Source organism: Homo sapiens, chromosome 6, assembly GCF_000001405.40.
Source record: "Homo sapiens chromosome 6, GRCh38.p14 Primary Assembly".
Lineage (NCBI taxonomy): Eukaryota > Metazoa > Chordata > Mammalia > Primates > Hominidae > Homo > Homo sapiens.
In genome coordinates, this window is record NC_000006.12 from 135,285,768 (window position 1) to 135,300,644 (window position 14,877).

The 14,877-nt window shown below is 37.1% G+C and overlaps 1 protein-coding gene across 13 annotated transcripts in view; it reads right to left on the minus strand.

The window, feature by feature from the left end:
* Nucleotides 1–14,877, minus strand: part of AHI1 (Abelson helper integration site 1) — a 214,209-nt gene that overhangs the window by 2,236 nt on the left and 197,096 nt on the right. For 6 of the 13 annotated variants that reach the window (NM_001134830.2, XM_011535911.4, NM_001350503.2 and 3 more), the window contains 2 exons: nucleotides 14,733–14,791; nucleotides 4,656–4,758 (listed from right to left, as the gene is read on the minus strand). In NM_001134830.2, the coding sequence (NP_001128302.1) occupies nucleotides 4,656–4,758; nucleotides 14,733–14,791 (162 nt within the window). Of the gene's footprint in view, nucleotides 1–4,655; nucleotides 4,759–11,664; nucleotides 11,726–14,732; nucleotides 14,792–14,877 lie in introns of those variants that run through there. The other 7 variants (XM_047418943.1, XM_047418942.1, NM_001350504.2 and 4 more) reach the window with 4 other exon arrangements.

A 14,877-nucleotide genomic window follows, 5' to 3' on the forward strand; every position in this document is an offset into this window, starting at 1 on the left:
ACACATACAAACACAACTAAAAAAGACCAAAATACTAATTTCCTATCTTCTAGTTTGCCTCTCAAACATTGTTAGCATCTTTTTGTATCATTAGCAATTGTTTAAGGCCTGCTCCTGCATTGACAGGTTAATGTAAGCAAGAAAGAAATAAAATCCCCAAATATAGACACTAAAAACTCCAAACCATAAGTAACTTCCAGAAATGAAGAGCAGGCAATCAGAGTATATGAAATTCTTCATTGAATGGGAAAAAAAGTCCTCATGGATGATATTCAGGGTTAGTGATTCGGAAGGATACAGATAATTTTATTAAATAGCATTCTTTCATTTAGTCTATGGCTATGCCTACTTTTATATAATTAGGTTATTACATTTTTCAAATCAATTAAAAAATGGGCTGTCTCATTTTTGACCAAGATAGTAACAATCAAGCATCCAGATGTGGCTTTGATGTAAAACAAATTATACAATTCATAAAAATCAAGAACCAATATGCAGATGAAACAAGAAGTTGCTTCCTTAGACAGCATGTAGTATTTGCACTACAACTAGTGTGAGATAAATTAGTGGGGCTAAACCTAACATTTTTTAATGCAATCATTCATACAGCATTGATAAGTTCTGGACTTACACAGAAAGGTTACTGTCCTTCTTCTAAAGAGAAAGGCTTAACACCTGGTTGTCCTTAGAAAACACACGGCAGTTTCAGAACGATGGCAAATCTGGTTAAGGTAGCAGTCAACTCCATCGACCACTCCTGAGAAAAGTGACAGCTGGCACACTGTGGCAAGAAAGGGCAATGGCTAACCATTCCTGAAGGGCTTTCCCTGGGGGCACAGGAGGTGTAGGGGACACCTGTGCTTTAAGGAACAGGCCCAATCTTAAATCAATGGTCGCACTATCTTTTCATATAAAACACATTTACACATGAGGGGCAAAAATTCTTTATCACTTGATGTTTCTTGATTTTAAATTTGTTAAACAGAGCTACTCCAGGTAAGCTTGTATCATATATAGAAGCCCAAAAATACGTTCTAGTGAAGCTCATGAATGCACATGAAGTTGAGTATAAAAATGGTACAGAATACGGCATGCCAAGGTATAATACCACTAGGGGCAAAAAAAGTCTCCCTGTACATATACAGAAAAAGTACGTAAAACTTTCACCAAATTAGGATCTGATAAAAATGGAAAAGAAAGTAGTTTCAATGAAGGCTGGGCTAAAGTCACAGAGAGACATATAAACTTCTGCAAAAGGCAGTGAGGAGGGTAAAGGATCTTACAGGAAGAATAAGGCAAAACAAAGTGAGAGGAAGAGTTCATGTTAGTGGGAGGACAAAAAAGAAGAAGAAAAACAGAAAAGGGAAGGGGGAGAAGGGGAGAAGAACAGCTGGAAATTAGTGAGATGGATCCTGCACGTGCAGAAGATGTAGGACAAGTGAAATCAATCAGGTGGTGACTGCACTGTGAGAAGTAAACAGAGAAGCCAGACGGACCTTCAGGAGAAGAACCCAAAGAGAAATTCAACTCGAAAAATCTAAAGTAGGCAGCAAAGATAACATCTTTGAGGGAAATGATTCAGACTCAGAAGAGGAAGAAACACACTGGATAGAGAATGACAAAGATGGCGCATAAAAGGGAGAAAAGAGACAGAATAAAGATGGTCATGTGCACCCTTCGGACACTGGCGGCTCCTCCTGACGATGGGAGGAAAATCAAGAGTGGCACACTGGCTTGATGAACGCTAACAGCAAAAGGACCTGAAAGCTAGGAGACAGCAGGGATGTGCTGAAAGAGGGAGGAGAAGACATCTAACCAAAAGACAAGGATAAATGCAAAGCCATTCCTTCTCTATCTTCTCATAAAGTATCTCTGTAATCTAACAGAGGAAGAAAGTAACGAAGCAAAGCCCTTTTTAAAGGCTCTTGTGATGAAAAGAGAAAGAAACATTCTTCTTAGCAAGCTTATGAAAACAAGTATGAAACTAGGTTAGTGTTTGTGTGTATGTTATGTCTGGGGAATAAGATTCATAAAAATACCGGGCCGTGGCCGGGCATGGTGGCTCATGCCTGTCATCCCAGCATTTTGGGAGGCTGAGGCGGGTGATCACTTGAGGTCAGGGGTTTGAGACCAGCCTGGCCAACATGGTGAAACCCCATCTCTACTAAAATACAAAAATTAGCCAGGTGTGGTGGTGGGTGCCTGTAATCCCAGCTACTCGGGAGGCTGAGGCAGGAGAATCACTTGAATCCAGGAGGTGGAGGTTACAGTGAGCCAAGATCGCACCATTGCAGTCCAGCCTGGGCAACACAGCAAGACTCCCTCTCAAAAAAACAAAAACAAAACACAACAAAAAAACCTGGACCTTACCCCACAAGACATTCAATCCAATAGATCTTTCCTGAAGGTTTACTTCTGTGGCAAGACACCAGGCTAAGTGCAGGGGAGGAAAAAAATGTGAGTATGTATTAAATAATAGCCCCTGACTGGAAGCACTGGCCATCTAATCAGAGTTAATATACAAAGCAATGTGTAAGAGAAACAGCCCTGAACTTGGGGCAAGAAGATTAATTCCTAGTTCAGGTACTTTGTAGCTGTAACTTTGAAACCTTGGTTTCTTTAAATGTAGAAACAACACGCTGTATTAGAAAATTTCTAAAAATTACATTCATTTTGAAAGAAATGATCAAGTAGTAAATATACAGTAAGTAGATAAATTAGAAAATGCACAAAGTTAAAATAGAAGAAAAAAATTACCATAATCTTACTACTCAGATAATTATTCATGTCTTTTGATGTATATTATATAAACTATTTTATAATCATTTTTTACTTAAAAATCATAAACATCTTTTCATGTCCATAAAAATACTTCCATAATATGATGAATAACCATATGATATTCTGTTATATAAATATTTCATATTTTAATCAACCCTTTATTTTAAAAACACTGCTCGAAGGAGTAGCCTTTTAACTAAATCTCTCCATGTATACTTGAATACTTTCCTATAAGAGATTCCTTGAAGTTGAACTGTCAGGTCAAAGAGATGCACATTTTGAAAACAAAACAAAACAAAAAAAAAACCCTAACATATTACCTAATTATACTTCACAAAGAATGGATCAATCTTATAGTATTACCAGCAGTGTAAGCGGGAATCCACATCCCATTTTCTCATCAATACTAGGTATGTATCATAAGTTTGAAACTTGTCATTTTGAAAGGGTAAAATACCATCTCATTTTATTGTTTTAATTTTCATTAATTTGATCAATGGATGGTAAACATTTTTCATATGTCTGTTGCCATTTATATTTATCCCTTTAAGAATCCTTTAAGAATGTCCTGTGTATATCTTTGTCCCGTTTTTCTACTGGTGTATTTTTTTTCTTGTTGAAAAAGCTCCTCTTAGAGCTTTTTATTTGTTAAGGGTATTACTCCTGGCCAGGTGCGGTGGCTCACGCCTGTAATCCCAGCACTTTGGGAGGCTGAGGCAGGTGGATGGCTTGAGGTCAGGAGTTCAAGACCAGCCTGGGAAACATGGCAAAACCCTGACTCTATTAAAATACAAAAATTAGCTGGGTGTGGTGACACGTGCCTGTAGTCCCAGCTACTCGGGAGGCTGAGGCAGGAGAATCACTTGAACCCGGGAGGTGGAGACTGCAGTGAGCTGAGATTGCACCACTGCATTCTAGGCTGGGTGACAGAGCAAGACGTCTCAAAACAACAACAACAACAAAAAAAAGAGTATTACTCTTCCATGGGTAAATCTCTTCCATCCCAGGTTATTGTTCATTTAAAAATTCTATGACTTTTTTTCTTTTTGACCTGCATAATTTTAAAGTTTCCATTATTTAAGAATCTGTTTTATAATGTTTTCCAATTCTGGTATCAAGGTTAAAAATAATTCCTTAGCCCATGATTACATAACTATGCATCTATATGCTTCTGTACAATTAGATTTTAGTTTTCTACAATGGAAAAATAAAAATATGAAAATTTTGACTCTAGTTCCTACAAAATGACAAATTTATAAATGTGGACATGAACAGCTTCGTAACATTTCACCTTGAACAGAAACTTCACTTCTACTTAATAGAGAAAAGGCCTTCTGGCAGGCCTTCCCTATACCCCAACCCCTACCATCCAAACACATTTTCCCACTGGCGTATCTCGGTGGAAAAAGTGGCCCACTCTTGAGCTGTAATCCTCTGGAGTTCCTTAGGCCCCCAGGGACTATCACTCTGCTCCGACACCGCAGATGGCTCCTTCTCAAGTGGCTCTTTCCTCTCAGTTTGTAAATATTCTTGTCATTCCCCTCTTTATAAAGATCTTGTCTATACCCTGTGTTTTCCACTAGTTACTGCCTAGCTTTTTCTTTCCTTTAAATTCCAGCTTCTAAAGAGAATAAGACTATTCTTACAGTCTTTTTCCCTTTGGGCTGGAGACAATCTGATTTATGCTTCCAGGTTTCTCCATCAAAACTATCTTCTCCAAGGTCGCAAATGGCCTCCCGGTTACAGATCCCAAATGGGACTTGTCAGTCCTTATTTTACTTGCCTCTCTCTGGTATTTGTCCTTGCTGACCATGCTTTCCTAAATCTTTTCCTGTTGACAACATAGCGCAACTTTCTATTGGTTTTCCCCTTACCTCTATTAGAGTGACTTTTCTGCCTGCTTGCTTGTTCTTCCTCATCCGTGTATCCATTATGTGTCCTTGGTCCTCATGGCTCTGTTCTTTTCTCATTTCAGAACTATAGGAGGGAAAGATCAGAAACAAGGAGCCAGTAAAAGAGAGCTGAGCTAAAAGCTCAGATGAGGCTTTGATCTAGGGCCGTGGCAGTGGAAACAAAAATGGGGATAAATGTGAGGATATGACAGAGAAAAACATCCGGCAGAACTAATGAGTATACACGGGGATGAGAGACAAGGAATTGCTTAAAATAACGTTAACAGACAAACCTTTGGCTGGTTGGGCTCCTTCTTAGCCATGATAAAGGGACAAGAATAAAATAAATTTCAAAATCTTAAACAATTATCTGTGGACTTACAGAATAAAATAAATTTCATCTGTCTCAGAAAAATATTAGATGCCTGGGAAAAATCAGAAAGTTCTATCAACTTAGGTGGAAACACACACAAACACACACACACACACACACACACACACAAAAGTATAGGACATTCATTCATGACAAGAAAAGAAATGAAGGAAATTTATATATAAGAAAGCTGTAACATCCTGATCTGTGGAATGAACAATGTAGCTTTCCAAATGATTCAATGGCAATAGCAAAATATAAAACAAATGTTTTGTGGATGAGTGTGTAGTAATGCACTTTATATTAGGAGAAAGAAAACACAAAAACAATGAAAAAAAAAGGAAAACTGAAGAATGGAACAGAGTATCTTCTAAGTTGTCTAGGAATGGTGAGAAACACCACAGAGGAGCTTGAAAAAGATACAAGAATTTCAAAATCAGGTATTAAATAGGACTGAATAGAGATTCTTGTGAACCAAATGATATTTCCCCAAAATTCACATGTTGACACCTGAACTCCTAATGTAACTGCATTTGGAGACAGGGGCTTCTAGGGAGATAACTAAGGTTAAATGGGGTCAGAAGAGTGGGGTTCTAATCTAATAAGACTAGAGTCCTTAGAAGATGGAAAGATGAAACCAGAGCGTGCTCTTTTTGCACAGAGAAGAGGCCATGTGAGGACACAACAAGAAGGCAGCCACCTCCAAGCCAGGAAGAGAGGCCTCACGGGAAACCAATCCTGCTGGCACCTTGATCTTGGGACTTCTAGCCCCCAGAACTGTGTGAAAATAAGTTTCTGTAGTTTAAGCAATGAAGTCTGTGGTATTCTCTGTGGCACCCTGAATAGACTAATGAAGAAATGTGTAAGTAAGTGAAATGAAGTCAGATGACTGAGAATGAAAAGGTCAGAAATTACAAAGAAGAAAGGACAGTAAATTTAGATAGAATGATAAAAGAACAAAGGAAAGGTTAAGCTCTGAAAAAAAGCACTGATAGCACACAATCTTAATCTTTCTGAAGTGTACCCTTTTGGCCTTATTTCCAAGGAATCTATATTCTAGACTGATAAGGTGAATAAGGGAAGCAAGCCAAAGATAATACAGCAGAGACAACGATACAATGGACTGTGGCAAACTGGAGAATGGATGACTCATCTAAAGGAGGCAGTCTATCTCAGCTCATTGATGGATGTCATCAAAGAATGTAGAGCTGTGGTCCAGAACTCTGGATTATTTTCAAGAAGTCAGAAATCTGTATTTCTTTTAGGTGAAATATGTAAATATCTGGGCAGCTAATTACACACACACACACACACACACACATACACAAACACACACACACAAAGACCCCATGGATACTTGCTGGTCTGAGGGTATCCCAGGCACTGCCCTACTTTTGTGCCTTAGCTCCTGACTTCTAGGCCCTATTCTTCTTGTTTACCCCGTCGTGTCTATATGGTCTTAAATTCTGTCTTCATCTTTGGCTTTCTCTGACCACTAAAGCCCACTCTAGGAAGATCAGACTGTAGTGATCCTCTTTCTTCTTTTATCTCTCACAATCTATATACAATCTATCAAAAGGCTACCTTGAAAATACATAGAACATCTAGACCTTTGCTTGTAGCCCAGATAGAGTAGGAGGAACCACATTTACCTCTTGTCTAAAACAACAACAACAAACCTGAACAAAACACATGAAACAACAATTTTCAAGATACTGAGCCACAGACGATGAAGATCTGCAAAAGGTCCCCCTCAAGTATCCAGCAGTGAACTGATGAGTGCACACATCTGGGAAAATCACTTGAGGCCCGGAACAGTGTTTATTCCCACTAGCAATGAACAGAACTGTTCCCGAGGAAGCCCAGACACTGGCCTTACTAGACAAAGACTTAAAATCCGTAATTAAAAATGTGTTCAAAGAACTAAAGGAAATATGTATAAAGAACTAATGTATGAGCAATGTCTCATGAAATAGAGAATATGAATAAAGAAATAGAAATTACACAAGGAGGAAGTAATACTAAATCTACACAAACTATTCTAGAAAATTGAAGAGGTGGGAATACTTCCCAACTTGTTCCATGAAGCCAGCATTATCTCCTCATCAAAATCAGCTTAAGATGTTACAAAAAAATTACAGACCCATATTTCTCATGAACAAAATGCAAGAAGTTCTAAAGGAAATTTTAGCACATCAAATTCAACAAGCACTATCCTTTATAAAAAGGATAACACACCACTAAGTAGGTTTTATCCGAGGAACGCGAAGTTGGTTTAACATTTGAATATCAGTGTAACTCACCATATTAAGAAATTTAAAAACAAAAACCATAGATTACTTAACTAATGCAAAAACATGTTTGAGAAATCAAACATCTATTCCTGACAAAAACTCTTAGGAAAGGGAAACTACCTAATAAAGGGCATTTATAAAAAACCTAGAATAACATCATACTTCATGGTAAAAGATCAAATGCTCCTATTCATTTCCCACATGATCAGGAACAAGACAAGAATGTCTATTCTGACTAGTTTTATTCAACATTGTATTAGAGGTTCTACCCAGTGTTAACAGGGCAAAAAAAAAAAAAGAAAAAAAAAAAAAAAAAAGAAAAAAAGAAAGAAAGAAAAGGCGCCCAGATTGTGAAGAAAGAAAACTGTCTTTTATTTGCACGATTGTCTGTCTACACAGAATATCTCGTGGAATCCACTAAAAGCTATTACAACTAACAAGTGAGTTTAGTAGGTTCGCATAAAACAAGATCAACATACAATAATCAGTAGTATTTCTATAAACTAGCGACAATACCATTTACATATGAAACATGTAGGAATAAATCAACCAAAGACCTATACACTGTATGTCCAAGACCTATACATTGAAAACTAAAAAATGTTACCAAGAGAAATTAAAGAAGTTGTAAATAAATGCAAAGATATATCATGTTAATGACTCAGATGATTGAATATTGTTAAAATGTCAATTCTCTCCAAATTAGTATCTGGATTAAATGCAATATCAATTGGAATATGCTATAGAAATTGATAAGCTAATTCTAAAATTCACGTGGAAATGGAAAGAACCCTAAATATTAAATAGCCAAACCAAATTTGAAAAGGACAAAGTTGGAGGACTAATATTACCTGATTTCAAGACATACTACAAAACTACTCAGTAATTAAAATAATGTGGTAGTAGCATAAAGACAGAGGAATAGAAAAATAATGGGCTGGGTGCCTTGGCTCACACCTGTAATCCCAGCACTTGGGGAGGCTGAGGCGGGTGGATCACTTGAGGCCAGGAGTTTGAGAACAGCCTGGCCAACATAGTGAAACCCCATCTCTACTAAAAATACAATAAATTAGCTGGGTGTGGTGGTGTGCACCTGTAATCCCAGCTACTCAGGAGGCTGAGGCAGGAGAATCACCTGAACCCGGGAGGCGGAGGTTGTAGTGAGCCGAGATCATGCCATTGCACTCCAGCCCGGGTGACAGTGCAAGACTCCATCTCAAAACAAAACAAAACAAAACAAAACAAAACAAAACAAAACACCCAACATTAGCTTGTGTAGTGGTGTACGCTACTTGGGTGGCTGAGGCAGGAGAACTGCTTGAACCCTGGAGGCAGAGGTTGCAGTGAGCCAAGATCACGCCATTGCACTCCAGCCTGGATGACAAAGGGAGATTCTGCCTCAAAACAAACAAACAAACAAACAACCCTCCCCCCAAAAAAAACCAAAAGAGAAATAGAAAAATAATAGATAGACCATAAACAGACCCACATATATATTAAGAGCTGATTTCAGCAAAGGTGCAAAGGCCATTCAGTTGAGACAGAGTTGTTTTTCAACAAATGATGCTAGAACAACAGGATCTCCAAATGCAAAAAAAAAAAAAAAAAAAGAAAAAGAAAAAAAAGAAAATAAACTCTGATCCAAAACTCACATCACATATCACACATACAAACTAACTGAAAACAATTCATAGTCTTAAATAAAAAATTATAAAACTTCTACAAGAAAATATAAGAGAAAACTTTAGTGGCTTTGGGTTGGCAGAGGTTTCTTAGATATTATACTAAAGCATGATTTGTAAAAGAAAAATTTTGGTAAACGGAACTTCAACAAAGTAAAAAACAGTTTGCTCTTCAAAAGTCACTGCTAAAAGAATAAAAAGGCAAAACACAGATCAGGAAAAATATTTGAAAATCACATAGTTGATAAAGAACATATTTAGAATATATAAATGACTCTTAAAATTTAATAAAACAAATAACCTATTACAAATGAGCAAAAGATTTGAACAGAAATTTCACCAAAGAAGATGTATGCATAGAAGGTAAGCACATCAAAGGATGCTTAACATCATTAGTTGTTGGGGATATGCAAAATCAAACAACAATGATATATCTCTACATGTATTGGAATGGCTAAATTAGAAGGACTGACCATATCAAGTATTGGTGAGGAAGCAGAACTCATACATGTTGGTAGGACTGTAAAAAGGTAAAACCGTATGGAAAACAATTTGGCAGTTTCTTAAAAAGTTAAGCATAAACCAACTATATAGTCCAGCCATTCTACTTCAAGATGTCACCCAAGAAAAATGAAAGCATAACCTTCTTCAATGCCTCTTTCAGTGATATGATGTTAAACAAACAAAAAAAACCCCTATGTTCACACAAAGACTTGTATATAAATGTTGATATTAGCTTCATTTGTAGTAGCCACAAAAACTTGTACATAAATGTTGACATTAACTTTATTTGTAGTAGCCGCAAAGTGGAAATGATTCAAAGGTCCATCCACAAAGGTACATGAATAAACAAACTGTGGTATTTAAAACTCTAGACAGTGAGAGAAAGTAGATCAGTGATTATCAGGGGATGTGGCTCAGGGAAGGGAAGAAAGATGTAGGAGGGCAAAATTACAAAAGAGCATCAGAAGTCTTGGAGAGATGGGTATGCTCATTACCTTAATTGTGGTGATGGTTCATGGGTATTTACCCATGTCGAAACTTAAACCGTTTATTTTATTTAATTTCATTTTATTTTTTTGAGATGGAGTCTCACTCTGTCTCCCGGGCTGGAGTGCAGTGGCACGATCTCGGCTCACTGCAATCTCCACCTCCCGGGTTCAAGCGATTCTCCTGCCTCAGCCTCCTGAGGAGCTGGGATTCCAGGCGCCTGCCACCATGTCCGGCTAATTTTTTTGTATTTTTAGTAGAGACAAAGTTTCACCATGTTGGCCAGGCTGGTCTCGAACTCCTGACCTCAGATGATCCGTTTGCCTCGGCCTCCCAAAGTGCTAGGATTACAGGCGTGAGCCACCGCGCCTGGCCGCAATTTATTTTATATCAAGTGTATCTCTTTATAAGTTAGAAATATATATGCATACATAAAATCTGACCTCTTTTCACTAACTTCATGGCTCCCACTTTTTTCCGAGGCACCACCACCAAGTCTCACCTGGATAATTTCAATATTATTTTAACTGGTCTCTCTGATTCAACCCTTGTCCATTAATGTCTATTCTTATCTTAAATGTCAGAGGGATTCTGTTAAATTGTTAGGTCACTTCCTGTGTTTAATGGCTTCCTACTTCACTTGGTGTAAAAGCCAGAAGTCTTATAATAGTATATAAGGTCTTATTACTGTCTCTGATTTTATCCAATCTCTCCCAGTTTCTTACTCTACTCTAAAAAGCCTAATTTCCTTACTTTTCTTTGAGGGTAACAGGTATGCTTCTGCTTCAGGGCCCGCTGCACTTGTGTTCTACATACTCACATTACTCAATTCCCTGCCTCCTTCCACTTTTCTCAGGCCTTCTCTCATGCTCCGATTTACAACTGCAACCTTCATGTCTCCTTTCCTTTCCCCTACCCATGCTTTATTTTTCTCCATACTGTAGCACACATCTGGTATAATTAGACATTTTACTTATTTTGCATATAGGTAAATAAAATGTTAGCTCCTTATAGCAGGGATTTTTTATCTGTTTACTGCTGTACCCTCAGTGCCTAGAACACTGTGTGTGACACTGTAGGTGCTCAGCAAATCTATATTTAGCAAATGACTATTACGTGTCTGTCTTCCTTGCCACACTGGGCACTTCCACAATGTACAAGTTGTGTATCATATCATTCATCACTGCATTTCAGTACCTAGTATAGCACCTAGAACAGAGAGCAGATGATCACATTTTCCCAATTGGACTGATGCTCACAAATGAACTACTGACACCTTCAAAGGCTAATCCTGACCCTTCCTCTTTATGGCAGTAGCATCGAGGTCTAGGACAAGACCAAATTCTTGATACAGACAAATAATGTTTGCTCAGGCTCATGTAAAATGCTGGGCAAATACAGCAAGACATGTCTCCTGGCCCCACCTTCCAATCATCAGATGCCCTCAAGACACTCACATTGCATTCTTCTAGAGCCACAATCTCTATCCTGTTTTTTTCTCCCACTGCAATTCCCCAACTCCAAGACACTAATCAGTCAGTCTCCTCCCACTCTCTCCCCTCTCTTCATAGCCGTATGCTCCTTTAAACTAGTTCTTTCCCACATCACATCCAAATGCCCTCCCATGAGGCAGACAAAAACTCAAGCCTTACCTTTATCTAGAGGCCTTCTCTAGCTATGCATATTCCTCCTGCCTTCTCATTCAGCTCTCTTCTGTAATTACAATTTGCATCACATCATTTTGCACCTAATTATATAATTGGTTGCCTTCTAAATGCTTCTTATTTCTATTTCCTCATCTGACCTGTAATGCTTCTTTAATATCTCTCAATGCATCTAGCTCACTGCTGGGCACACTGTGAGGTCACACACATGACAATAAATGCCTTTAATTTTAGAAATTGGGGGTAGGATGAGGATTAAAAAAAGGCAGAAAACGGATAATAAAAGTAAAAATTTAGAAGAAAAGTGGCAAGTAGCAGGATTATTTTAGAAAAAAAAATGTGGACTATAAACTACCTCCTCATAAAGAGAAATGAAAGAGCCTGGAATGGTTATTATAAAGATGGAAAAAAATATACAGTGGAGTGACAGGATGCTTGGAATTGACATTTATAGCCGCACCATATTAAGAAGAGATTTCATTCATTTAGTTCAGATTTCAGGGTTAATAAGACTTTAATATGATTAACTATATGAATTAACCTCTCTCTGAACAAAGCTGTTAATGAAATAAAGGTTGCTATGTTAAAAAAAACCCAACAAAATTCAATACAGGCTATATTAGTTAACTATGGAACATTAATACTACTTGTTAAGGATGACAGCATATTTATAGCAGCCTCATTACCAACTCTGACTTAGGCAGCAGATAATATATGAAGAACATCACAGGGCATGCGGTACAAAATGTAGAAGTTTAAGATTTTCAGGAAAATACTTTTGTTAAATTAACCAATAGAAGTTTCTTCTAGATACCTTAAAAAAGAGAATGTAACTTTACTAAAATGTGTATAAATTGCTTGCATAGAAGTGACTGACATTTCTCAAAAAAAAAAAAAAACAAAAAAACAAGACAAGAAATTCAAGTGGAAAGTAGTAAGAGGCTGTCTATGTGGCTCATTTACATATATTGGTCAACCAACTAATAAGCAAAAGTTACAAACTCAAAGGCAGGGCTGCAAAGAAACAAAAAATTAGCCTCTGTCCATTTACTTGGGTACAAGAAACTCATTTAGGTAAATCAAAGAAATGACTTCTTTGTACATGCTGGGCTCTAGTGTTTCCACCATCAACTCGCCTACAGTTTTCAAGTCATGAGAAATCTATCTTAATTCATCCTTACTTCTAAGAAATTGTAAGTAGGGAAAGTCCAAAAGCTTTAGATGAACTTGGGCATTTAGACATATCTGAACTTCTCATGAAAATTTTTATTTTCAGAAGCATCTTCAAAAAGAGAAGCTGAGCTATACTGACATCCTTTAGAAGCTGAGATGTTTGTGAGGTTTTATTGAACTTTAATCTGGAGGGCATGACATGGATCTCTGTATCTCGTGAAAACTGGTATGAAATGTAGACCGAGTGAGGAGTATGTAGGAGACATTTTTTCATTTGCGTAATATTAAGTAAAAAGTTCTAAAAATTTTTATGAAATATGTTCAAAGACACCAAGAGCACTGTTCCCATGATGTGTTAAACATGGTCATTTTTTTTTGGTTGTTGAAACAGTCTGTGCTTATTGTTTCTAGTGTATTTTGTTGTTGAGTATACGCTCCTTAGGGTCAGTGACTGTTTATCTACTATTATGTAAAATTTTAAATGTCCAGAGACTGGAACTAAAAACATATCTGACTGATAACAGTAAAACAAGAAACTATAAAACCTGGAGAGATTATAGAAAGAATTTCTAAGGTATCTTCTAGATCATGATTCTGTGACTCTTAAAAATTACATTTGTCTTTCATCTGTACAATGAAATACTGTCTTGTTAAATGCTGCATGATTTTATTAGACAATTCCTGTAAATAACTGTCATCTGAATCAGAATTTTTGTACTGGAAGAGACATATTATTCTTCAAATTGCCAAAGCATATAGCAGGGTTAACTTGAACAAATATTTTCCCCAAGGAAGCTCAGCAGGGATTGTCTGTGTGCATGTGTGAGTAAGCAAGCACCCAGCAATGTACGTGGGGGTGGTGGTGATGGGATGGGAGGGTATGATAGCTAAGCTGTTCAATGCTGTCACACTTCCGTTATATTTTGTTAGTAATGTAATTTGAATATAAAGTTTGGACATAATGTTAGGTCCAAAAGATAACTGAAAATGATAAAAATTGAGAAATATGTTGGGAATGTTTTGATGTAAAATTTTTTTTTGAGGCAAAAGAGTGACTTTTGATGGGTACATTAAGTGACACAGCAAGTACTAATTAAAAATATAAAAACTTTCCAGAGTTCTTTTAAAATAAATACTTCAAAATAAATTACCCAAATACATTAAGCATTTATAGAAAATATATAATGACAATGTTCTGCTTATTAGCTTTTTTCTTAATGCTTCAAAAAAGGCATTCATAATTTTACTTTTAATACACGTTCACTTGTTTTCAGTTAATGTTATTTCAAAATAGTACTCAAATAAAAATAAATGACAAAATAGGTCCTCTAAAGTTTTGTGTGATACTAGTTTAATAGGATTTCTTATAACTTTGTAATAATACACATTCTCAGAGTCCAACTATTAAAATATTCATTGTTTAAACAGCCAGGCATGGTGGCTCATGCCTGTAATTCCAGTACTTTGGGAGGCCGAGGCAGGTGGATCACCTGAGGTCAGGAGTTCAAGACCAGCCTGGCCAACATGGTGAAACCCTGTCTCTACTAAAAATACAAAAATTAGCTGGGTGCGGAGGTGCGTGCCTGTAATCCCAGCTACTTGGGAGGCTGAGGCAGGAGAACTGCTTGAGCCCAGGAGGTGGAGGTTGCAGTGAGCTGAGATTGTGCCACGGCACTCCAGCCTGGGTGACACAGCAAGACTCTGTCTCCAAAAAAAAAAAAAAAGAAAAAAAAATCGTAAACAAGCTAAACTCCTTTAAAATCAACTATCTGAAATTTAACTTATAGTTTGATAATGTTATAAAAATAAGAAATGGAGAAATTATCCTTAAAAGAAAACCCCAACCATTTATCACTGCAAATTATTTTGAAGAAGTTGCTTACTGTGTCATAGATTCTGAGCCTAGTCTGAAGTCCTGGGACTTGTTCTTATTGATTGATTGCTGTGGAAGAAGAGGAAAAACAAGTAGTAAGTAAAAAATGAGAAAAGACAACACAGTCAATATTCACATGCTGAAAACCCACCAAC